Source organism: Homo sapiens, chromosome 3, assembly GCF_000001405.40.
Source record: "Homo sapiens chromosome 3, GRCh38.p14 Primary Assembly".
Classification (NCBI taxonomy): Eukaryota; Metazoa; Chordata; class Mammalia; order Primates; family Hominidae; genus Homo; species Homo sapiens.
The window spans coordinates 107,915,328-107,937,764 of NC_000003.12; the positions used below are offsets into that span (position 1 = coordinate 107,915,328).

At 39.5% G+C, this 22,437-nt stretch overlaps 1 long non-coding RNA gene across 1 annotated transcript in view, besides 3 other annotated features; it reads left to right on the plus strand.

Moving 5' to 3' along the window:
* LINC00636 (long intergenic non-protein coding RNA 636) overlaps nt 1–13,580 on the plus strand; it is a 45,703-nt gene extending 32,123 nt beyond the window's left edge. Inside the window, exons 2-3 of the long non-coding RNA NR_015394.1 lie at nt 8,304–8,473; nt 12,546–13,580. This is a non-coding gene — a long non-coding RNA (long intergenic non-protein coding RNA 636). The remainder of the gene's footprint in view (nt 1–8,303; nt 8,474–12,545) is intronic.
* Nucleotides 11,893–12,514: an enhancer, noted in NCBI's record as "H3K4me1 hESC enhancer chr3:107646067-107646688 (GRCh37/hg19 assembly coordinates)". NCBI's record gives its function as "activates a minimal SCP1, AML or CMV promoter by ChIP-STARR-seq in primed H9 embryonic stem cells {active_cell/tissue: H9 hESC(primed)}" and the evidence as "EXISTENCE:reporter gene assay evidence [ECO:0000049][PMID:30033119]".
* Nucleotides 12,103–12,192: an enhancer, noted in NCBI's record as "active region_20205". NCBI's record gives its function as "activates an Ori minimal core promoter by ATAC-STARR-seq in GM12878 lymphoblastoid cells {active_cell/tissue: GM12878}" and the evidence as "EXISTENCE:reporter gene assay evidence [ECO:0000049][PMID:35858748]".
* Nucleotides 12,203–12,262: an enhancer, noted in NCBI's record as "active region_20206". NCBI's record gives its function as "activates an Ori minimal core promoter by ATAC-STARR-seq in GM12878 lymphoblastoid cells {active_cell/tissue: GM12878}" and the evidence as "EXISTENCE:reporter gene assay evidence [ECO:0000049][PMID:35858748]".
* Nucleotides 13,581–22,437: the final 8,857 nt, after the last annotated feature.

Consider the following 22,437-nt stretch of genomic DNA (forward strand, 5'->3'; position numbering starts at 1 on the left):
GCATACTATTTATATTCAAATATTCATTTAGAGATATTAATGAGTTTGATTATGGGATCTGTCCCAGATCCTGCTTGGGGGGTTATGTAATATACTATTCATGCATTATGTTACCTTTCAAAAATCTGAAAAAGTCTGGATTTCTAACACATCTTGTTTAAAGGTTTCCCTGCCTCAGTAAAAGAGCAAACTAGAAACAATGTCACGTTTTCTTTAATGACTCGGTAGATTACCTTAGAACAGAGGCACAGTATAATAATCAATAATTCCTATTGTACAAAGATTGTACAATAAGATATAGTTAAATGGCAGAGGACTTTTTGCTGAAAGTGTACTGACAACCATGATCATTTTTTTAAGGTAAGTCCTGAGTCAACTTGTTTCCATCTCGCTTGAGTTTCTAAATAGTAGCTAAGCTTGCAAAACAATTATAGTCAAATGATACTATTAATTAACTGATTTGAATTCACTCAATTTTCATCATTTTGAATTTATTTTTTAGGATTAGGTCATACTCTAGCTCATGGGTGTATAATTAAATGTGGGTGTACAATTTTAAAAATCCAGAAATCATTGCACCAAACCATAAGCTTATGGAGAAAAGAGAAGTACTTTTTGATCTTTCTTCCTTCATAATGCTTTGCCTACACATAGTAGTCATTCAGTTGGTGTGGAAATGAATATTTTAGCCTACTGTTATATTTTGAGAAAATGCCACTGAAATCTCCATCATCAGAAACAATTTAAAACTGCCAGAACTTTAGTGTCAACATTCCTCTTGCTCTAGACTGTGAGTGGCTACACATCTATCTCCACACATGAGCTTCTTTTCTGTTTTAAGCCTAAAAACAGCAGCCATATTTGACATTGAGTTTTTTCAATGTCATATAAAATAATCATGCTCACTTCAGCTCAGATTTTATTGAAGCCATTATTGAAGCTTAAGTCTTTTGTGGACTCACTTTTGAATTCAACATTTCTTCAAGTGTCTCACAGCCATTCGTTCCACACTGTTGGTCATCCGAGGAGAAGGAACAAACCCTGGGGACACTTTCCTCCTTTGAGACTAGTGGACCTTGAGGCAAAACGACACCCACAATTGTAGTCTGAGCACCGGGAATTCCATGTAAAGAACATTTTAAAAATATTTCAATGATGTCCTGATTAGCCTCATCCAAGTAACCAAAACAATTCTTTATACTCGCACTCCCTTCCACCCACCCTCCTCCCTCCACTAGCCACGGGCTGGGAGAAAATATTTGCAACACACATATCAGATATAGAATATGTATCTAGAATCAAAAACAAAACAAAACCCAAAACACTCCTTATAATTCCACCATGAAAAGATAAACAATCCAATTTACAAATAGACAACAGATACCTTAGTAAAAATAATCACACTCAGAACCTATTTCTATGTTTCTTTTAACATTCTCCAATAAAAGAACTGTGGCTCCTGAGACAAATGGCTGGTCTCAGGGCTGGGGCAAGGGCTATACTAGATGAGCCTGGCTTATCTTGTAGTTTCAGAATGTGAGGAAGGGCTCGAGAAAACACAATGATGGGGATATATCAGATGGATACAGGAACTAAGTAAAGAATCTCCCAATGGCCAAAGCTGAAACAATGTGAGCAACAAAATCAATAATGAAATATTGATTTATAATCCATCCAAAGTGGAAAATAAATACTGAATGCATACTCTCCATAGGATATAAAAAATCATTGGATTTTAAAAATCTGGTTAAATAGACCAACCTACAATACAGAAGTATTACAAATAATTTATTCATACATTCCATTTTGAGAAGGTGGAGTATTACTCCCCATCATGTAAGTGTGGGCACTGCATAGCGACTTCCTTCCAAAGAGTATGGTATGGGAAAGGAAAACACAAGAGTAACTTTAGAATGGAGAAGGCTGACAAACACAACCTTCGCTGTGTAATCAAGGTTAGCATCAGTAGTGATAAGTCATGCTGATAGCACATTGCCGAGACCAGCTCGGTCGGGGAGACCCTAACCCAGTGGCGCTAGAGGAATTAAAGACACACACACAGAAATACAGAAGTGTAAAGTGAGAAATCAGGAGTCTCACAGCCTTCAGAGCTGAGAGCCTTGAACAGAGAAATTTACCCACGTATTTATTAACAGCAAGCCAGTCATTAGCATTGTTTCTATAGATGTTAGATTTAAAGTATCCCTTATGGGAAACGAAGGGATGGGCTGAAATAAAAGGGGTGGGTCTGGCTAGCTATCTGCAGCAGGAACATGCCCTTAAGGCACGGATTGCTCATGCTATTTTTTGTGGTTTAAGAACGCCTTTAAATGGTTTTCCGCCCTGGACGGGCCAAGTGTTCCTTGCCCTCATTCCGGTAAACCTACAACCCTCCAGCGTGGGTGTTATGGCCATCACGAACATGTCACAGTGCTGCAGAGATTTTGTTTATGGCCAGTTTTGGGGCCAGTTTATGGCCAGATTTTGGGGGACCTGTTCCCAACAGTACATACCCTTGATATGATGGGAGGAGAATGGCACTTTACTTCTGTGGTCTTCTTCCACAAAACCCACAACCCTAGTAGAGTCACATGAAAGCTATCACAGACTCCAATTGAGGGACCTTCTATAAAATGCCTAGCCTGTATTTCTCAAAAGTGTCAAAGTCATCAAAAGCAAAGAAAGTCTGAGAAACAGATGTCTAAAGGAGCCTAAAAAGATATAGCAACCATTTTTAATGTACTGTCCTGGATGGGATCCTGGGAGAGGTAGGGAATGACACTAGGTAAGAAAGGAAAGGAAGACACAGAATATACTATGAACTTTAATAATAATATATCAGTATTGGCTTGTTCATTGTGACAAATGTACCATACTAATGTAAGATGTTAACAGTAGAAGAAACTGGGTGTGTGGCATATGGGAACTCTTTGCACAATCTTTGCAACTTTTCTGTAAATCAAAAACTCTTCTAAAATAAAAAGTTTATTTTAAAAAAAATGAACAACAGGTTTGAACAGACGCCCCACCAACAAACACATACAAGTGGCTAAGAAGCACTTTAAGGATGCTCGACGTAATTAATCATCAGGGGAATGAAATTAAAACCATAATGAGATTTACTATAAACCCACTAGACTAAAATTATAAAGACTGACAAAAACAAGTGTTGGCAAGGATGTGGAGGAACAGGAATTTTTATACACCTCCAATAGGGATAAAAAATAGTACAACTAACTACTTTGGAAAACAGTTTGGCAGTTTCATAAAGTTATATATACACTGTCATATGACCCAGTCACTCTAATCTTAGGTATTTACCCAATAGAAATTAAAGCACAAATCCACATAAATAAAGACTTGTACATAGATGTTTATAGCCCCCCCTCAGAAAAACAACCCAAATATCCATCAATCAGTGAATGGATAAACAAACTGTCACATATCCATATAATGGGACCCAACTTGACAATGAAATGTAACAAACTACAGCAACATCATGATAAAATCTCAGCAACATCATGCTTAGCCACATGCAAGAATGTACATGCTGTGTTATGCTACTTACATGCAATGCTAGCAAGTGTGCACTATATTTCAAGGGACAGAAAGAAGATCAGTGGTGCATAGGATAGGAGAGCCAGTATTGACTTGACAAGGGTAAGAGGGGACTTTGTGGACGGATAAAAATGTTCCATATCTTGATTGTGGTGCTTACATAAGCGTATGCATTTGTTAATGCTCATCAAACTGTACATTTATAATGGTGCATTTCATCTTATGTAATACAATTTAATATAGTTGATTTGTTTAAAAAAATAGAGGGAGTATTTGAAGGGATTCTGAGGGTGGCTCTCTGGGATCCCTCAGGGATGACAAATTGTCCTTCTCTGCTCCATGGTCCTTCCACCATCCCATGCCATCCCACTCCTCCCACCACCACCCCAGAAAGTAAGGGAGCTGTTTGACATGCATCTCTTTGACAGTGAAGGTTCCTGCTCCATGCAATTTCAGAAGGTAGAAGGCTTGATGGCATAATGTATGCCAGTGGGGCTTGAAGAGATCCTTTAGTGTGCCTGGAAGAGGAAGGAGGAAGGAGGAAGTGGACATGCCTTCCCCTGTTCTCTGTGACTTTCAGGCACAGAAGAGGACCCCGATGTCTGCTGGAAGCACAGAGCTTTGTAGAGAGATCACAGGTGTACAGCAACCTGAGTGGGGGCCGAAGGGACACGCAGCTGCCCCTCTAGGGCAAAAGCATCCCATGAGGGAGCTGGCATGAAGCTGAACATGGCCTCAGGAAACCATGCATACAGCTACAGCAAGATAGCAGATGCCACGGAACAAAGTGCCACCAGATCAGGACACAGGCACCTCCTACTACTGAGGCTGCTGCTCCCAGCCACAAGAAGAGGAGTTCTTTCTCCTCCCCGCTGGGGTTGGAGTCGGTGAAGCTGGGATAGACAGTATTAGTTCAGGGAGAAAAAGCTTGTACCTATGAGTAAGGACAGCTAATGATATTGAATTTTGACAGAATTGTCAACAGAGAAAGCCTAAGACTTTAACAAGAATAGATTACAAAAATCAGTGGACTAGACTAAGATTTAAACAAAAATAGGACAAAAAATAAGACATATGCTCTGGGTAGATTTTAAGGTTCAAAGAAGTTTTGAGAATATAGCAAGCTTCATTAAAAAAAAATTTGCATGGATCTACTTCAGTCCAACTGTTACACTTACATTCAAATAGGATTGTTATGATACACTCTTTTGCAACCTGCTATTTTCACTGGGTTATATATCGTGAACATTTGTCCATGTCAATATATAGTCTTCTACAACATGGTTTTTAATGTCTGTGCAGCATCTACCACATGAATGTATGTGTTTTATTTAAATGGTAGCTTATTGTTAAACACTAAGGCTGTTCCAATTTTTCAGTATTATAAATAAGTTTGATGTAGAATCTTACACATGTATCTTTTCACACATCTCTGATTGTGCCCATTAGATAAATTCACAGTTAAGGAATTGCTGGTGCATGGGGTATTTGTATTTTAAGGCTCTTAACACCCTGTAGAAGGTTTGTGTTGATTTACAATTCCACTAGAAATAATTTTAAAGGCTAATTTTCTATTTATCTGTATCTCATTCTGACTCAACAATAAATTGAACTGGCTGAAGGATGCTCATATATCCATCTTTCTTTCATTATTATGTTATACTTAGGGTGAGTGTAGAACTTAAAATTAGCAACACTAGCAGTGTTTTTTATCCTCAGTTTAGCCACAAAAATGGCCGTGTTGGTGTAATGAGAGTAATAATAATGGAGTTAACCTTTAAGGAGAACTTACTGTATGGCAAGTAGCATTCACAGTACTTTACAGGTATTAACAGTCCTATGATGTAAGTACTATTATCCTAGTCATTTTAAAGAAGAGGAAACTGAGTAACCAAAAGGGTAAGTGCCTTGATCAATGTAGCTTTTCAATATTAATATGAATCATTCTTATCTGGATTGTTTCAGTATTTCTGTACATGGTGATTCTTTAATTTGCATCAGGTCTTAAAGAATTAAGGTCTTTCTGTTATACAGACTAAACACCGACTCACCACGGACAAAGACACTTCTGCTCTGAATATGAAATCCTGTGGTTGGATGGTCTTGGGGCCCCCTGTGGCAAAATTCTATAGACCCTGTCCCACACTCTGTCGTGAAAATGGGACTATATTACAGTTCTAATTCCCAAGTACAGCACTGTCACATACTGCCCCAGTCAGTTGTAGAGTTTTCCACAAGTAATTTGTTATAAGTAATTAAGTTCTGAAGTTTGCAAATGGAGCATTTTTCATGTAAATTGGAGTGGATGTGAGATTATCCTTGCCTAAGGTCACCTCACTCCCACACATTTCCATGTGCTCTCAGAGTAGGAGAGAAGTGGGTGAAGCCTTTGCAAGGTTGTGGAGGAGTGTTACCAGCCTGCAGCCCATCCTGCCTCTGCACCCGGGGAGTGGGTGGCACATGCATATATGTGGATCTCTGCAGGAAAAGCATGGGGAACCACAACTCCAAATGGAAGGAATAAAAGGAGAGGAAACAATTAAAACAACTGAAGAGTAGGAAAAGGTGTTTCTGCCTCAACGCAACTGAAAACAAAAATTAGACATTTTCATTCCCAGTCTTCTTTCCTTGATTAGCATCAGGAAGACAGATTTAGTTTCCTACCACCACCAACAACAACAACAAAACAAAACAAACAAACAAAAAAGCTATGTGTGCCCAGTAGGGAGAGATGATGAAAGCACCATGTTTCTGTGTTTATGTTTCAGCATGTCAAAGGGTATCAAGATGGCCATGAAAAGAATGGAACCTCCTAAAATCTTTGTTGTTAAAGAAATGTTTTCCCTTCAATGAACAGCTTGCCAAGGCCAGATAAGCAGCATGAAAAGCAGAAAAAAAATGCTTCTGTTTGCTTATTTAGAGAGTTGTTCTTAAAAATTCATCTGCTTACAATCTCCAGAAAGAAATTGCCATCCCTTGCCCATTGGCTGATCGGGAAAGGTCTCTTACAGTGTTAAATTGTCCTTTTTCTTCATTAATCTTTGCACCTTATGTTAAGAATGTTCTTGCATGCGAGTGAGCAGTTAGGACCACTGTCTGCTAATGAGGTCAAGGTTAAGGACTATAAACCTAATTAGGATCATTAACTGATTGTATTTTATAGTTAGAAACTGGACACCTAATCCCAAATAGACATCTTCCAATTTAACGTCTATGTTCTGGGCCAGCACCAGCCTAGCCTCTTCTGGAGAAATAACTCAAAGCAGTGTCATTTTGGTGTATCTTGGTATGTGAATGGTAAATCACTGTTATTCTCCAATATCAAAGAATAAACATGTTTTTCCCATTTAAGGGCAGCCTCATCAATAGTATTTCCAACTCTTAAACTCTTCCTATGGTTTTCAGGGATGTCCAATCTTTTGGCTTCCTCGAGCCACATTGGAAGAAGAAGAATTGTCTTATGCCACACATAAAATACACTAACACTAACAATAGCTGATGAACTTTTTTAAAAATCGCGAAAAAATCTCATAATGTTTTAAGAAAGTTTACGAATTTGTGTTGGGCCCTATTCAAAGCCATCCTGGGCCACATGTGGCCCTTGGGCTGCAGGTTGGACAAGCTTGATTTATATGGCAGACCCTCCCTGCTTTTGCAGGCATCTTGCCCCCAATGACTTTTTTTGGGGATTAATATCAAAGGAGCATCTACCTTTTACTCAATAATCCTCTAAATTTTGAGGTGGTCTTTCCAATGCAGGATACATTTCAAAAAATGTTTCTGCTTTTTTTCCTCTTGAAAAAGGTAACATATTTGCATTATAGAAAACTTTAAAATGCAGAAAAATATAAATAAAAATATTAAATCTCCCATGGACAAGGTGGGAAGAATTCTTGAAAAGAACTATGACTGAATGATGAGGCAACTTTTTGCACTTAAGTAATTTGATTAAATTATTGACAGTCCCCAGTGCTTGAATTCTACACTGCAGGAATGACTCCTAACTATCTCTCTGTGCCATTGTTTTTACGTAGTTTTTTAATTTAAAAACTGTTTTGACTGTTTTCTGTTACATAAATGCCAATCTCTGCTGAGAAATGCCATCAGATGCTTTTCTGTAAATCATAGCACAGAATGTATCCTTCTTTCCAAAACTACTGCCATTAAATATTACTGTCCTTGTAATAGAAGAAAGAGAGGGTGATAATTCTAGAAATGAAATATTTCAGAATAATCATGAATGAATGAACAGTAGTATTTACTACTTGAAGAGACAAAAATAAATTAATGAATTTGGGGATATAGGACTGTTCGTATCTAACATCTAAGATCCATAACCTCCACAAATCATAGCTGTAGAAAACCTTATTTCAAAACGGTGTGATGGATAAATAGACTTAAACCATTTTCATCTTTCTTGATTTACCTTGGTAGTGGCAAAATTTAATTATGTTGCCACTCTTAATAAGTCAAAGTCCTGGGACAACTGATTTGATCTCATGTTTCTACACATATCAGGAAGAAGAAACAGACATTTCTATGACTCTAAAGCAGAGATGCTTCTTTAGTACAGAATAATGATTTCTAGTTCCACTCCAATTCTAAAATTTTCAAAGAATGGAAGGCGAGAAAAGGAATGAGCAAGAAGGAAAGGAGCAACCAGTCTTTATGATAACTTAGGAGAGCTCAGTAGGTAAAGGGTCTGATGCATAGCAGGTGATCAACTCTTCCTTCATTATTGGCAGGCTCCCACAGGCAAGAGCACATCCTACTGGACCTGAGGAAGAAAATGATCTGTCCATACCCACTGCCTGGAGAATGATCTGTTGCCAGAAGCTGGATGACTTCGGGCCTAGCCAAATGCCAAGCTATGCTAAGGGAAGTTGGGGTTCTTGTCCTGGAAAATTGCAGAATGGTGAGGAGAATGTATTGTCTAGACACTTGCATTTCTCAGAGGTTGAATGAAAGTGTATTCCCAGGTTTAATAATAGCCTGGCATCCTGTCCTTATGAATAAGGCATATGTGTCTAACAGAGAAAGTCTTAACCCTTGAGAGGCAGGGTGGCATAAGAAAGAACCAGAGACCTATTCGCTGACCCCCGCTTTTGTTCACTTACATACTTGCTGTGTGACCCTGGACAAATCACTTCATCTCTGTGTCTTTGGTTTCCTAATGAGTGTAATGAGATCCTTTCCAGTTCTAACTTTCTGTGATTCTCCTCATATGTAGGGCTATAAACCACAATGCTGCTTACCAGTCCTGCAAGTGACATACAGGTAAAGAGTTGCTGCTTGTTGTTTTTTTCAGTTTGGCCGCCACAGACTCCAGGTTTTGTAACAAAAGTATATTAGTCCTTTCTTGCACTACTATAGAGAAATACCTGAAACCGGGTAATTTATAAAGAAAAGAGATTTAATTGGCTCATGGTTCCACAGGCTCTACAGGAAGCATGGTGCTGCATCTGCTTCTGGGGAGGCCTCAGGAAGCTTTTACTCATGGTAGACAGCAAAGCCGGAGCGGGCATCTTACATGGTTAGGAGCAGGACCAAGTGTCGGGAGGAGATGCTACACATTTTCAAACAACCAGATCTCACAATAACTCACTCGCTCAGGATCAGGAGAACAGCGCTGGGGCGCTTGTGCTAAACCATTCATGAGAACTCTGTCCCCATGATCCCATCGCCTCCTACCAGGCCCCATTTCCAATATTGGGGATTACAACTGAACATGAGATTTGGGTAAGGACATAGATCCAAAACATATCAAAAAGCAAATACATATACCATAGCTTTCTTGTTTTCTTCTTCCACTTCACACATAGCAATACTAAAGCTGAGCTTTTTGACAGTGGTGGCAATGGTAAGAACAATGACAAATAGGTCACTTCAATAAAGAAATGATAATGAGGTGGGAGAGTTCTCTGGCCCCCCCTTGCAGGGTGTGTGACAAGGGGTGCAGCTCTCTGTTCGACCTCCATGAGCTCAAACCCCTTACGGGAGGGGGAGTATGCAGACAGGCAGGTGCAGGAATTGGGGCGAGCACTTTTGGGCTCTGGCCCCACAGCAGCGTCTAGGGGTGGGTGCCTGCAACCCTAGTGTTACAATGCTGTTTTAGCTCTGCCATCCACAGATGGCTTAAGTGTTAACCAGCTCATTGGCCCCTTGGTACCCAGGCATCCCAAAAGAATTGGGTCACACACAGACTTGAAGGATGAATGCAGGGGTTTTATTGAGTGGTAGAGGTGGCTCTCAGCAGGATGGATGGGGAGCTGAAAGTGGCAAGGGAATGGGAAGATGATCTTACCCTGGATTTTGGCCATCCAGTTGCCAAACTCCTCTCTGACTGTCCCCAGCCAAACTCCTCTCAGCCTTCAGATGCTCCTTCTCTTCTCTCTTTCTCTGCCTCACCTTTCCGCCATTCATCTGTGTGTCTCCTCATCTCCTAGTCTGCCTCTGGAGCCTGGGGTTTGGGGTTTATATGGGTACAGGTTAGGGGGTATGGTGGGCCAAAGGGCAACTTTTTGGGAGCAAAAACAAGAATGCCTGTCCTCATTTAGGGCCGTGGGTATCCAGGCTTGAGGGTGGGGCCTTTGCTGGGGAATCGCCCTCTTCTACCCAGTATTTCCCTGTCTTCTGTCCATATCAGCAACTCACTCAAACCTTACTTTTGAAGTCTCTTTTCTGACTGGATGGTCAGCAGCCTTCACTCTTCAAATAGGAAAGGCCCAAACCAAGGGTTCCCCAACTTGCTCCTCTTTTCATGTCATCTGGATTAGTAAATGATGCCTCATTCAATCCAGTGCCTCAAGCCAGAAACTGGGAGAGATCCTTGACCTTGCTCTGTCCATCAGTCATCCTGTCCAATCCATCACCAAACTGCAAATAGCTTATCCACTTCTCTCAATTTCCACTATGGCAGGCCTTGTCCAAACCTTTATCAATCCTCACTGAGCTAGTGCACAAACTTCCTGAAGTCTCTCCACACTCACTCCCTCATCCTACCTCCTATCCATTCTCCCCACTGCAAACAAAGCAATCTTTCTAAAATACAATTTGGATCGCTTTATTCTCATTCTTGAATCTCTTAAGGGGGTATTCCCATTGCATTTAACATGATGTCACCAATCTTTACTCTGGTTTATCAGATCCCACGTGAGCTCTCCAGCTTCCTCTCCCACTCATTCCCCAACACCATTTCCTCCTCAAGGCTTCCTCATATCTCTCCATATTATGCCCAGGCCCATCCTGGACCCGGCTAACCCTTACTCATGCTGTATCTGTCTGTGTAAATGGCATTTCCTCGGACAGGCTTTCTTGACTCCCTCCTCCGAAGTATACCAGGCCCCTTTGTAATCATCACAAATTACAATTATGTGTTTGATTGTTCACTTAGTTATAACCCCTTTCTCTCACGAGGTTCCATGAGGGGATAGAGCACTTCTGTCTTCTTCATTACCATAATTCAGTGCCAACCACAATGGCCAGTCCACTGTATGCAAATGTTTGTGGAATGAATAGCCAGGTGAGGTCCCCTTAATGGAAGTTTCCTTCTTCTGGTTTATTTCCATCCTATAAGCTATTATCAGGAGCAACACTGAGGATGATCATTTCTTTGTACGTTTTTCACTTTTGCAAGAGCTCTCCCTATGAAGAGCTTTTCCATTTCAGCCTAGATAGGCCTTATTTGAAAGTGGCCATCTCTCTTCACACGCACCCTCCTTTGCTTAGAGATGCAGAGAGTTTAAGACTTTGCCAAGGGAGGTATGTCGTCAAGACACTCGACATGGTGATGTGGAGCAAGGCTCTGGGTCAGTCTCTACTGAGGTTTGAATCTTGGTTTTGTCCCTTTCTAGCTAATCGACTTTGTGCAACTAACTTGCCTCAGTTTTTTTCAACTCTAAAATATGGATAATAATATAATCTAACCAATAGGTTGTCTTGAGGATTTAATGAAGTAACAAATATAAAACGGTTAGTACAATGCCTGGGACATAGCAAGTGCCTGATAAACATTGACTCCTATTAATATGTTTCACTGAATCCCAGAGGAAAGTTTGTTCACGTGCTGAGTTCTAGGGCTGGAGAATTTCAGGGAAGGCATCTTTCTTTGTCTTCTGTCTCCCTTTCCCTCTCATTTACTTTACCCTATACCCCCATCCTGATGTGCTGTGGTCCCAAAAGGCGGCAAGCAAAACTATGATAGACTGTAATTCCCTACCTTAATAATTTGAAGTCATAAGCAGATTTGAAATTTACAAGCCAGCAGTATAAAATTGCTGATGACCATTGCTTAAACTTTGGCAAGATGAATTATGTCTAGAAATAATTAGTAATATGTTAGTCAAGTCACTCCTAGATAATGTTGTTGCATTGCCATTTAGTGACAGTTCAGGAGAGCGCCCTTACAAGAGGCTCTGTAGGCAGAGAGTAGGTGACATTAACCTTCTAAACAGAAGCCGCTGCACACCGAGTGCCAGAGTACCAAGAAGAATTTAACATTCCACTCCTACCGCCGTCTCCCACTTCCCGGCTTCGGCAAGGTGGTTTTAAAATGAGAAGCACATCCCGAGTACTCTGTGTAGGTGGTGGAGTGGGAGGAGGTGAAATGCAAGCTTTATTTTCCCGGCTGCCTGTCATCCGATTCCCCGCTTTCCTCCGACTTTCATGAGTGATGAGGTCATCCCGGTGCAGGAAAATCAAACTCCTATTTTTCAAACCCAATAAAGGCCAGCATTGTACGTCTGCGTAAACAGAGAGGCCAGACGGGCAGGGTGGCGGGAGGACCAGTGGCCCGCCCTCTGGCGGCCGCGAGAGACAGCGTGCCCCGCGCTCCACCAAGCCGCGACAGGGAGGCGGGGAGGGTGCGTGCGAACATGTAAGTTAAAATTAGATCAATAGTCAGCTTAGCGGCCTCAATCAATGCTTCGCAGGGAGAGCATGCAACCATCTATTTATAAGCTAACACCGGCATTATCTTCCTCTTTTAGGACGCAGAGATCCATTACTGCGCGCGGCGGGGAAGAGGACGCCGCCGGGAGCTGGTGCGTGACACACTGCAGCCTCGCGGGCTGCCCGGGACTTCATCAAGCCCGGGTCGGCTCGGGGCGGGCAGGGGTAGGATCCATACCGCCGAACTGCGGCCCCGCTGCTCGCAGCCGCTCTTCCGGGAGCGCCCGCTTAGGACTCACTCCCGCCCATTCCTTACCTCGATGGAATCCTTAGCCCTTAGAGAGAGGGCTAAAAAACAAATAAACAAACAACAGACAAACAAAAAAAAAACCAAATTCCAAATGGCCCCCGGACCCTCCCGCAGATGCAGGGCGCACACTGGCCAGTTCTAACCATAGACTTGACTGCATGTTGACAAGGGTTTCCAACCTAGCTTCCCCGAGGTACTGCATGAATCAGTCCTTGCTCAGATGGTGGTTGCTGTAAATAGCTGCAATTTCCCTCCTTCCGTCTCAAAGCACGGATGGGAATGGATTTGCAGCAGGGACTCTGCATTATATTTAAGGTCTTGGTGAGATGGACACGGGCTCCATCAGCTCCAGACTTCCTGGGACATCTCGGCATTTCCAGGTCCGTTTGCCCCAATGGTGGAAGTCACCGCCCATATATGAGGAAATAAATGTCCACACCTAGCATTTGGGATAACGTGGCTAAATTGTTTTCAGTTTTTGAAAGACGCTGCAGAAAAAGAGGCAAAACCTGATACAGCACAGCAGCATGCCCCTCCCGCCCCCAAATACGAGATCGAATCACATTTTTAAGGGAAAAAATAGGCATTCTCATCTTAGATATGTATGTAGCATATTTTATAATATATATTTTTATCTAAAAATTATGCTTTTCTGTATTTTACAACTTTCTTTATTAAGCATTTTTATTTTGTGCTATTTTTTACAGTAAAAACTCTGAAGACCCAAAGAAATTTAATATTAGCTTAAATGTACATTAGATATATTTATAGAATCAATTTATTAGCTGCTATATTGTTTGACATAAAAGGCTTTTGAACTAAAGATAGAAATGGAAGCATTCTTCATTTAGAAACAACCTTTCTCCTCTTCTTCCAACTCTTGTTGGCTTACCTCCAAAATATATCCTGCATCTGTCTTTCTCACCACCTAGACTGCTCCTAGTTTAGTTACTGGTCACCCTTCATCATCATTCACCTGGATTGCAAAAATAGCCTCTTGTCTGGTTTTCCTGAATTCATTTTCTCCCCACTGCAGTCCTCACTTGCCACATAGCATTTTAAAAGATTGCTCTTTTAAAATGGAAATCAAATCCTATCTCTTCTCTTTTTAGAACCTTCAGTGCCTTCCCATGGCACCTTGATTAGACCCCAAGTTCTTCACCATAGCCAAAATGTAATGTGCCATCTGCCCCATCCACCCTCGCTCATCGCTCCTCATCTCATATCACTTTTTCACTTGTCACAGCATGCTTTTACATATCCCTTCTTTCAGATCCAAAGCCCCACAAGCTTATTTCTGTCTCCTAATCCCAGCTCTTGCTATTCATTCAGTGTGGAAGATCTCCTTCATAAATTCTTCGCAAATCTACTTCATTCTTATTCCAGCCTCAGCTCAGGTATCAGAGCTGACCACCTTCTGTCCCAACCCTCAACTGTACTCATTATCACATTACCCTATTCCATTTCAACACAGTAATTAATTGACATTATTTTATATATCCATGGCATTACCAGGGTGTTCTCTGTCTCCACACACTAGAATGTAAGCCCCATGAAAACAGGCTCCTTGTCTTTCTTGTACACCGTGATCTCTCTGGGTTCTAGAATAGTGCCTGGTCCATAGTTGGAAATCAGTAAGTATTGATTAAATAAATTATTGAGTGTGATTTCCTAGTGTCTTGTTTGTAAAATGCCACTAATAGCATTCTGCATACTCTGCCATGAGTTTTATAGTTATTTTTATGCCCATATGCTTCCTCCTCTCTAGTGTGAACTCTACGAGGCAGGATCATATTTAGTTCATTTTATTCTCCATGTCCTTATGGAGTCTGGCACATTACAGATGTTTAATACATTTTCTGGACTGAGTTGCAATGAGTAAATGGGTAATAAGATGATATAGTATGACTTTACACCAAGTCTAACCTTTCACCTGGGGACATGCAAAATTATTATGTATCCAGAGGAACAGGTTGTTGCTTTGACCCCTGTAACATCGCATACACATACACATGGACACACATACACTTGTTCTCGATATTTTCAAAGACTGTTCATATCCATTATTTTATTTGATCTCCAAGCTGGTATGTATAAGCAGAAGCTCAGGGGCATTAATTGACCTGCTCAAGCTTACATAGCTAATATAAAGCAGAGACAGGGATAGAGCTTACTACTTTCAAACACCCACAAATATGCACACATAAAAACACACACACACATTTCCACATTTGCCATTGTGGCTTAGTTCAAATGGGATCATAAATGCAAAGTACTTTGAATGGAATCTGGTATGACAGCCTTCCAATACACAGCCATTCCTTTCTCTTGGCCATGCTACAGTTGCCATAATCTTCCTATTCCTAGAAAGAAGAATTCTTCTATCTTCACTTTGTTCTTTTTCTTACTAGTCTGATCTCCAGGGTCATCCTTATTGTGAAATTTTAATGCATAATATTAATTGGACATGTTCACAAACATGAGCAATAGTAAATGGATTTTTGCTAACTAGCAACCTATTGCTCTTCTAACTTTTATTCTGAATACAAACCAAAGAGAAACAGTTGTGAATACCTACTAGCACACAGCTTAGCTTAAGTCATATAGTGCAGTGTCAATGAGGAAAGCTTATCATCCACAAACAAACACTAAACATAGCACAGCCAGCGGGGACAAACAATGTGCAAAATTAGTTTTATTATAGGCAAAAAAAAAGAATGCGAGCGCATTTTGATCATTCATTCATTGTTGCATTCATTTTATGTGCCAAGCACACTGTACAAAATTTGGGAACAGAGCGGCAAGCAAAAATAAATGAGGTCTCTACTGATACGGGTCTTGTGGAAAAGAAAGACTTAAACCAAAGAATCACAAAACAGAGATCAATGCTGTGAGTGGGTAAAACAGGAGGAATGGACATAGTCAGAGAATTCAGGGGAGAAGTCCTTGAGGAAGTGACGACTAGGCTTAGCTATGTTTTGAATTCAGTTATGGCCCAATGTCTCCAATGGTTACTAAAGAAAGAAGAAATGACCAAAGAAATAAATAATAATGGTGACTACCTTTAAAATTCTTTCATTTAATAAATACTTCTTGAGTACCTACTATCTACCAGGTAGTCGTCAAAGTGCTAGGAGTTTTAACAGTGATCAGAGACAAAAATTCCTGCCCTTATGGCTTTACACTGTTATGGAGGACGGCACACAGTAAACTCACACATAATTTTCATGGAAAAGAATGTTAACTGTTGATTTCCCCTAAGCAGAAAAATAAACTGAGGAAGTAAGATAGGGAAGTGGAGTTGGTGGGGCAGTGAGATACCATTTTATTTAGGAAAGTCCTGTATGCCCTCACTGAATAATACATTTGAGCAAGACCCAACAGTGCTAAAGCAGCAAGCTATGTTGATCTGAGGGGCAGGTGTGGGTGGTCACAGAGGGAAGAACCTTAATGAAAGCTTCAAGGGCAATGACCCTGAGATTACAGCATGACTGACTTGCCATGAATCTGAAGGAAGTGCAAGGAGGCCAGTATGTCTAAAGTAACTGGAATAAGCAAGGGGGTGACTAGTTACATGAGTAAAGAGAGGTAACTAGGACATGAGTTCAAAGAGGCAATAGATCTTGAAGTATCTTGTAGGTATGTGTAAAGATTTTCACTTTTCCTGTAAGTACAATGGAACTTTAGAAACTTTAGTAAAATGGAACAATAGAAACTTTTGAACAAATAATTGACAGGATCTTATTTATTTATTTATTTTTGAGACAGAGTTTCACTCTTGTTGCCCAGGCTAGAGTGCAATGGTATGATCTCAGCTCACTGCAACCTCCGCCTCCCAGGTTCAAGCAATTCTCCTGCCTCAGCCTCCTGAGTAGCCGGGATTACAGGTGCCCACCACCATGCCCAGCTAATTTTTGCATTTTTAGTAGAGAGGGGGTTTTACCATGTTGGCCAGGCTGGTCTCAAACTCCTGACCTCAGGTGATCTGCCCACTTCAGCCTCCCAAAGTGCTGGGATTACAAGAGTGAGCCACTGCGGCTGGCCCTGACTTATGTTTTAATAGGTACTCTGGCTACCATGTAGAGGGTACTCATTATGTTCCAGGAAATGTACTAAGTGTCTTAACAGAGGACCTCATTTTACTTTCATAATTCTGAGAAGTACTCATTTTACAGGTGAGAAAACCAAGGTGTAGGGAGTTTTAACAACTTACTCAAGGTTGCATGGCTAGTAACTGATAGAGATGGAATTAAAAGTCAAGTAATGTAATTCTATCACCCTGGTTATTAATCAAAATGTAAGAGTGCCTCCCTAAGAGAGACTGGGATGAGGAGGTGTTGGTGCTGAGAGTGAAAATAATATCTATCATTTATTGAGGGTCTACCAGTCACTGCCCTAGATTTTCTCATTAATTTTATTTCATTCTGACATCAACCCTATTAGATACATATTATTGTTCTTTCATTATAGATGAGGAAACTAAAACTCAGAGAAGTTATGTAACTAACTAAAGTTTGAACAGTTAATAATTAGAAGTTAAAATTCAAACCCAGAGTGCTTCATCGCCAAAGCTATGGCTTATTGCTTCTCAGATAAGAATGTTAAACTTCAAAATATATTTCTTATAAAGAACCTTTAATTGAGTCTTCTGTTTTTAAAATATCTACTATATCTTTCTTTTTGGAGTGCTTAGTGTACTTACGTATATAATGACTGAAATAGTTGCTTTAATTCTACCTACCTGCTATTTTTTTTCTATTTATCGTATCTGTTCTTCGTTCCTTTATTCCTCCTTCTCTACTTGGTTTTGAATTAAGTATATTGTATTCATTCCACTTATCTCCTCTATTAGTTTTATATTCCTGACATTATTAGCTCTTATGTGGGAAATTAATATGCCTTCCTAGCTTCTCAATATATATATTTTAAATTCATATTTTACGCTTCACAAACAATGCAAAAAGCTTACCACAGTTTAACCTCATTAAGGCCCTCCAGTTTGTTTGTGATATTGTTAGTTTTATTTCCACATTGTTATGTTCCTCCAACTCTTTCCTTATTTTTGTTTTAAAAAGTCAGTATCCTTTTAATATTTACACACAGACTTTTCCTTTACTGTGCCCTTTGTTCTTTCCTAAAGTTTAATATATCCACCTGGGATTATTTTCCTTCAGCCTGAAACATTTCCTTGAGTAAAACTTATAGTGCCATTCTCTAGATACTCTAAACTTGGGAGCTCATTGGATGAGTTTAAGAGCATGTGGGACACAACTTATTAACTCAAAGACGAGATCATTTTTTAAAAATGCCTGAACTGAAACACAAAAGTGGAAAAAAGTTTAAACTTGCTCAAGGTTTATTTGTCTGAAAATATATTTATTTTGACTTAACTTTTGAGTATATTTTTACTTGGTATAAAATTCTAAGTTGGCAATATTTTTCTTTTATCTCTTTAAAGATGTTAAGACATTGTCTTCTGGCTTCCATAGTTTCTACTGAAAAATCATCCATCAATTTTGTTGTTACTTTGAAAGTAATGTGTCCCCCTTCCTCCACCTCTGCTTTGATTTGTCTCATATTTTTTCTTTGTCTTTAATTTTTAGCACTTTGAATATTATGTGCCTAAATAGGGTTTTCATTGTTTTTATTCTTATTGATATTCCCTGTTCTTGGATCTGTGGGTTGATATCCTCGATTTGTTTTGGAAAATTCTGTTGTTTTCTCTGCAACAATTTCTTCTATAGTCCCTCTTTTCTCTCGTTCTGGGACTTCGGTTATGCATGTATTAGATCTTCTGACTGTGTAGTCAATGTCTGTAATGTTTTTTTCCATTCTTTCTATTCTATCTTAGTTCTCACATTTGTATTTCAGTTTGGTCATTTTTAAAAACTGATCTTGTCTTTGAGTTAAATATGCTATGTCCCACATGCTATTAAATTCATGCAATAAGTTCCTAAGTTTAGATATTATATTTTCCAAATTCCATAATAACCATATGGCTTTCTTAGCCATTTTTATTCTCTTTGAAACTCTTAACCTTTAATACATACCTAGTTCCTTTGTATCCATTAACATAATAATCTTTATTATTTTAAAGTCATTTTCTGCTAATTTTTATATTTGTGAGTCTGCTTCTATTGTTTGATTTTTTTCTCTTGATTATAAATCATACCTTCAATTTTCTTTTCATGTTAGTAATTTTTAGTTATCTTACAGATATTGGGTATTAAAAATAACCCCAAACAAAACAAAATAATGACAACAACAAAACAAAATGTTCAGATGAAATGTCTACCAGCAAGGGTTCCTCCTATCCTCTGATGGGCAGACAGGCAGAGATTGTGCTGGATAGGAGGTTGAGTTGCAATTTTTAGCAAATCCCAGCTCACCTTTTATTTGTCCCTGATTTTTGCAGAGGTCAATTTTGGGCTTTTGATGAGAAGCCTAGCAGCTACCTGTCTCCACAGTTCTAAATAGTTTGCTCTTCAGAGGTTTAGAGGCTGTATCTTAGATATCCATGCCACAAAGGTTCAAATCTGGCAAATGGTTTATGAGGAAAAATTGTTGGACATTTATTGTAAACCCGTATTTCTAACAAGATGTTGTTTCTCAAGCACTGCAGACTACAGCAGATTTTATTTTCTCTTTCTGGTTCTGCCCCTTTAAGACTTCCCCACCATTCCAAAACATATGGAAATGAGCCTTGCATTTTGCACTCTTCTATTTTCCCATCTATTATGCCAATCCCATTCATTCACCAAAACTTCTGCTGATTTTTCTTTTACCCAGTAAAGTCCTTCTCTTTGGCCGAAATCTCATCTTCAGCCTTTACCTGCAATGAACAAATGCTCCTTGGGAAGCAAACAGCTGGTGATTATAAGCTCATGTAGGAACTTGAGTTTATCTAGTTCCTGTTGCTTCCAACAAGATAGTGTCTTTAATGACGCTTTCAGTTTACCTGTTTTTTTTTTCTTATTGCAACAGTGTGTGTGTTAGCCTGCTGTGACCATCTACTTCTTTTTTTTTAAATTAAAAAAATTTTTTTTTGTATTTTTAGTAGAGATGGGGTTTCACCATGTTAGCCAGGATGGTCTCCATCTCCTGACCTCGTGATCTGCCCGCCTCAGCCTCCCAAAGTGCTGGGATTATAGGCTTCAGCCACCGGGCCCAGCCCATCTACTTCTTATCTAGAAATGAAAGTCCCTCTCAGATGTATAAGGGGGCAGAAATTTTGGAGCTTGAACGGACTTTGGCATGTGCTCAGAATTGTAAAGTGATGTATTCAAGACAAAAAACAAACAAACAAATCCAAAAAAACGATAAAGCTAGAAATTGGACCTGAGGTAAACTTGAGGGAGGTCTTCTGATCCCATCTATTATTCAAGAGGACAGGGAGCAGAGAAAGAGAGGAAGAGAGAAGATATTGTGGAAGGCTCTACCTGAAACAGAGAGCAATTCTGAAGTTTTTGCTCCAATTCTGGAATTCAGAAGTGACCTACCCTCAGAAACACTGGAAAACACACTTAGGTCTTTTGAGCCAATTATTACATCTAACATTTGCCTATTATTATTGTTGTTGTTGTTCTACCTGGTTTGAAAACAGGATTTAAAATAATTTGCCAATGATGAGAGCTCCTCTGGGGAAGGTTACAGATGAGGCAAATAGGATGATAATATAGAGGGTAAGAAAGGCTGTTATTAGAAAGCTGAGAATATTACTTTTGGCAGGGGTACATTGGTAGTTGAAGGAATTTCAGGACTAGGTGATGTGGGCTCATGAATTACTCCACTCAACAGAGCAAATGAGACAAGACTGGGTTCCTGTCCTTTGAAAACATAAAAAGGAAATGTTTCGATCCTTTTCTACAGGGAAAGTTGATCACTGTCACTTTTCCCCCCTCTATGATTGTTGAGCTAGTCCAGAGTGCCAAAGTAAGGGAAGAAAAAGTACAAGATTAATGACGAGATGGGATTCTGGAACTGAGAGCAGAGAGACCCATCCCTTCCCGAGATGCTCCTCACCCTTCCACTCACACGCTGAGCTACTGAAGCCAAACTTCACCTCTTATATGGGGAAGGAAAAACATTTGAATTTGCAGAAAGTCAAAGTCATGAGAAGATAAAAGAAATGTGATTAAAAATAAATGTGATTTTTATGTTTTATCTTTAATGTGGCAGTAGTATATTTATTTAAGTTTTGTGGTATTTTGTCCTGCTCTTGATTGAAATTGTATGTCTCTAGTCAAGCCTAAAAAAGAGGTTGCTAAGCAATTTAACAATGTAAACAAGTAAGAGGGGGAGAAATGTTCAGGATCAACGGGAAGCAGTGTGTTTTTATTTTCTTAGAAGAACAAACTGAACAAACTGTATTTAAGAATATTATCACACTATTGTCTACATGCAAATGTGTGCTGCTATTTGTAAACGAATCACATCCCTTTATTAAGGAAGGATGTCTATTTGTCATCTTTGCAGCAATTCCAGTAATAAAAAAATGCCCATTTCTTTAAAATTATGCGCTATTGATGGCAGCTAACATTTCTGGAGTACTTATTATGAACCAGGATGCTAAACAAGGATCACTTCATACAAGCTATTGCATTTAATCTTCACAATTGTTTTATGAGGTAATTACTAATATTATCCTCCTTTTTAACACGTAAGAAAATGGAGACTTAGCAAGGTTAAGTAACTTGCCCAAGGACATATAATAAAGGGCAGAGCCCAGTTCAATTTGATTCAAAAGCCTATGTGCTAATCATTTTGCAATAATCAGAATGGTCTTTCAATAGCTGCAAACCTGTGGTGCAAAACTTTCCATTGGAATGATGGCCAATCCAGTGGCTTGGTTTCTAAACAACTCCATTCCTCCTTTCTGTTCTACTCAGCCAATCACCTTGATGACCACTCTTCTCTCTCAGTCCACAGTGGTCAAGTTGTGTTGCCTAAAGCATGAAAAAGGGAAATGAACAGTATGAGAAAGCAAGATTGACTTGGTATCTTCTTATTGCTACCCTCTTGCTGGGTCCCAGCATATCACCTTACTAATTGTATAGCCTATGGCAATAAACTTTATAATTCTCACCTCTGAAATTAGGATTATATTACCAATCTTGCAAAATTGCTATAGGAAAATGAAATACTGCATGAAAAGTGCCTAATTCAATGCAGACACATGATAATGTTTGTCATATATGAGTTTTCTTCCCCTTCCTAATTCTATCTTTAATGCATCCTTATGCTATATCTTTCTTCAAAGTCAGAACCTTGTCTAGGAGATTTTTAAGCACTGTGTTGTTATCTAGACTTTGCATATAACTCACAGAAGATTGTGAGATGACTAATGTGAAGACATCTTTGGACAAGCAATTATCAACTTCCTACCTGATATATTCTCATAATGTGAATACTTGCTTTAAAAGTACTTCTCCAAGGTGTGTATGTGTCACATTTTCTTAATCCAGTCTATCATTGATGGACATTTGGGTTGGTTCCAAGTCTTTGCTATTGTGAATAGTGCTGCAATAAATATATGTCATGGAATACTATGCAGCCATAAAAAAGGATGAGTTCATGTCCTTGATAGGGACATGGATGAAGCTGGAAACCATCATTCTCAGCAAACTATCGCAAGGACAAAAAACCAAACACCACATGTTCTCACTCATAGGTGGGAATTG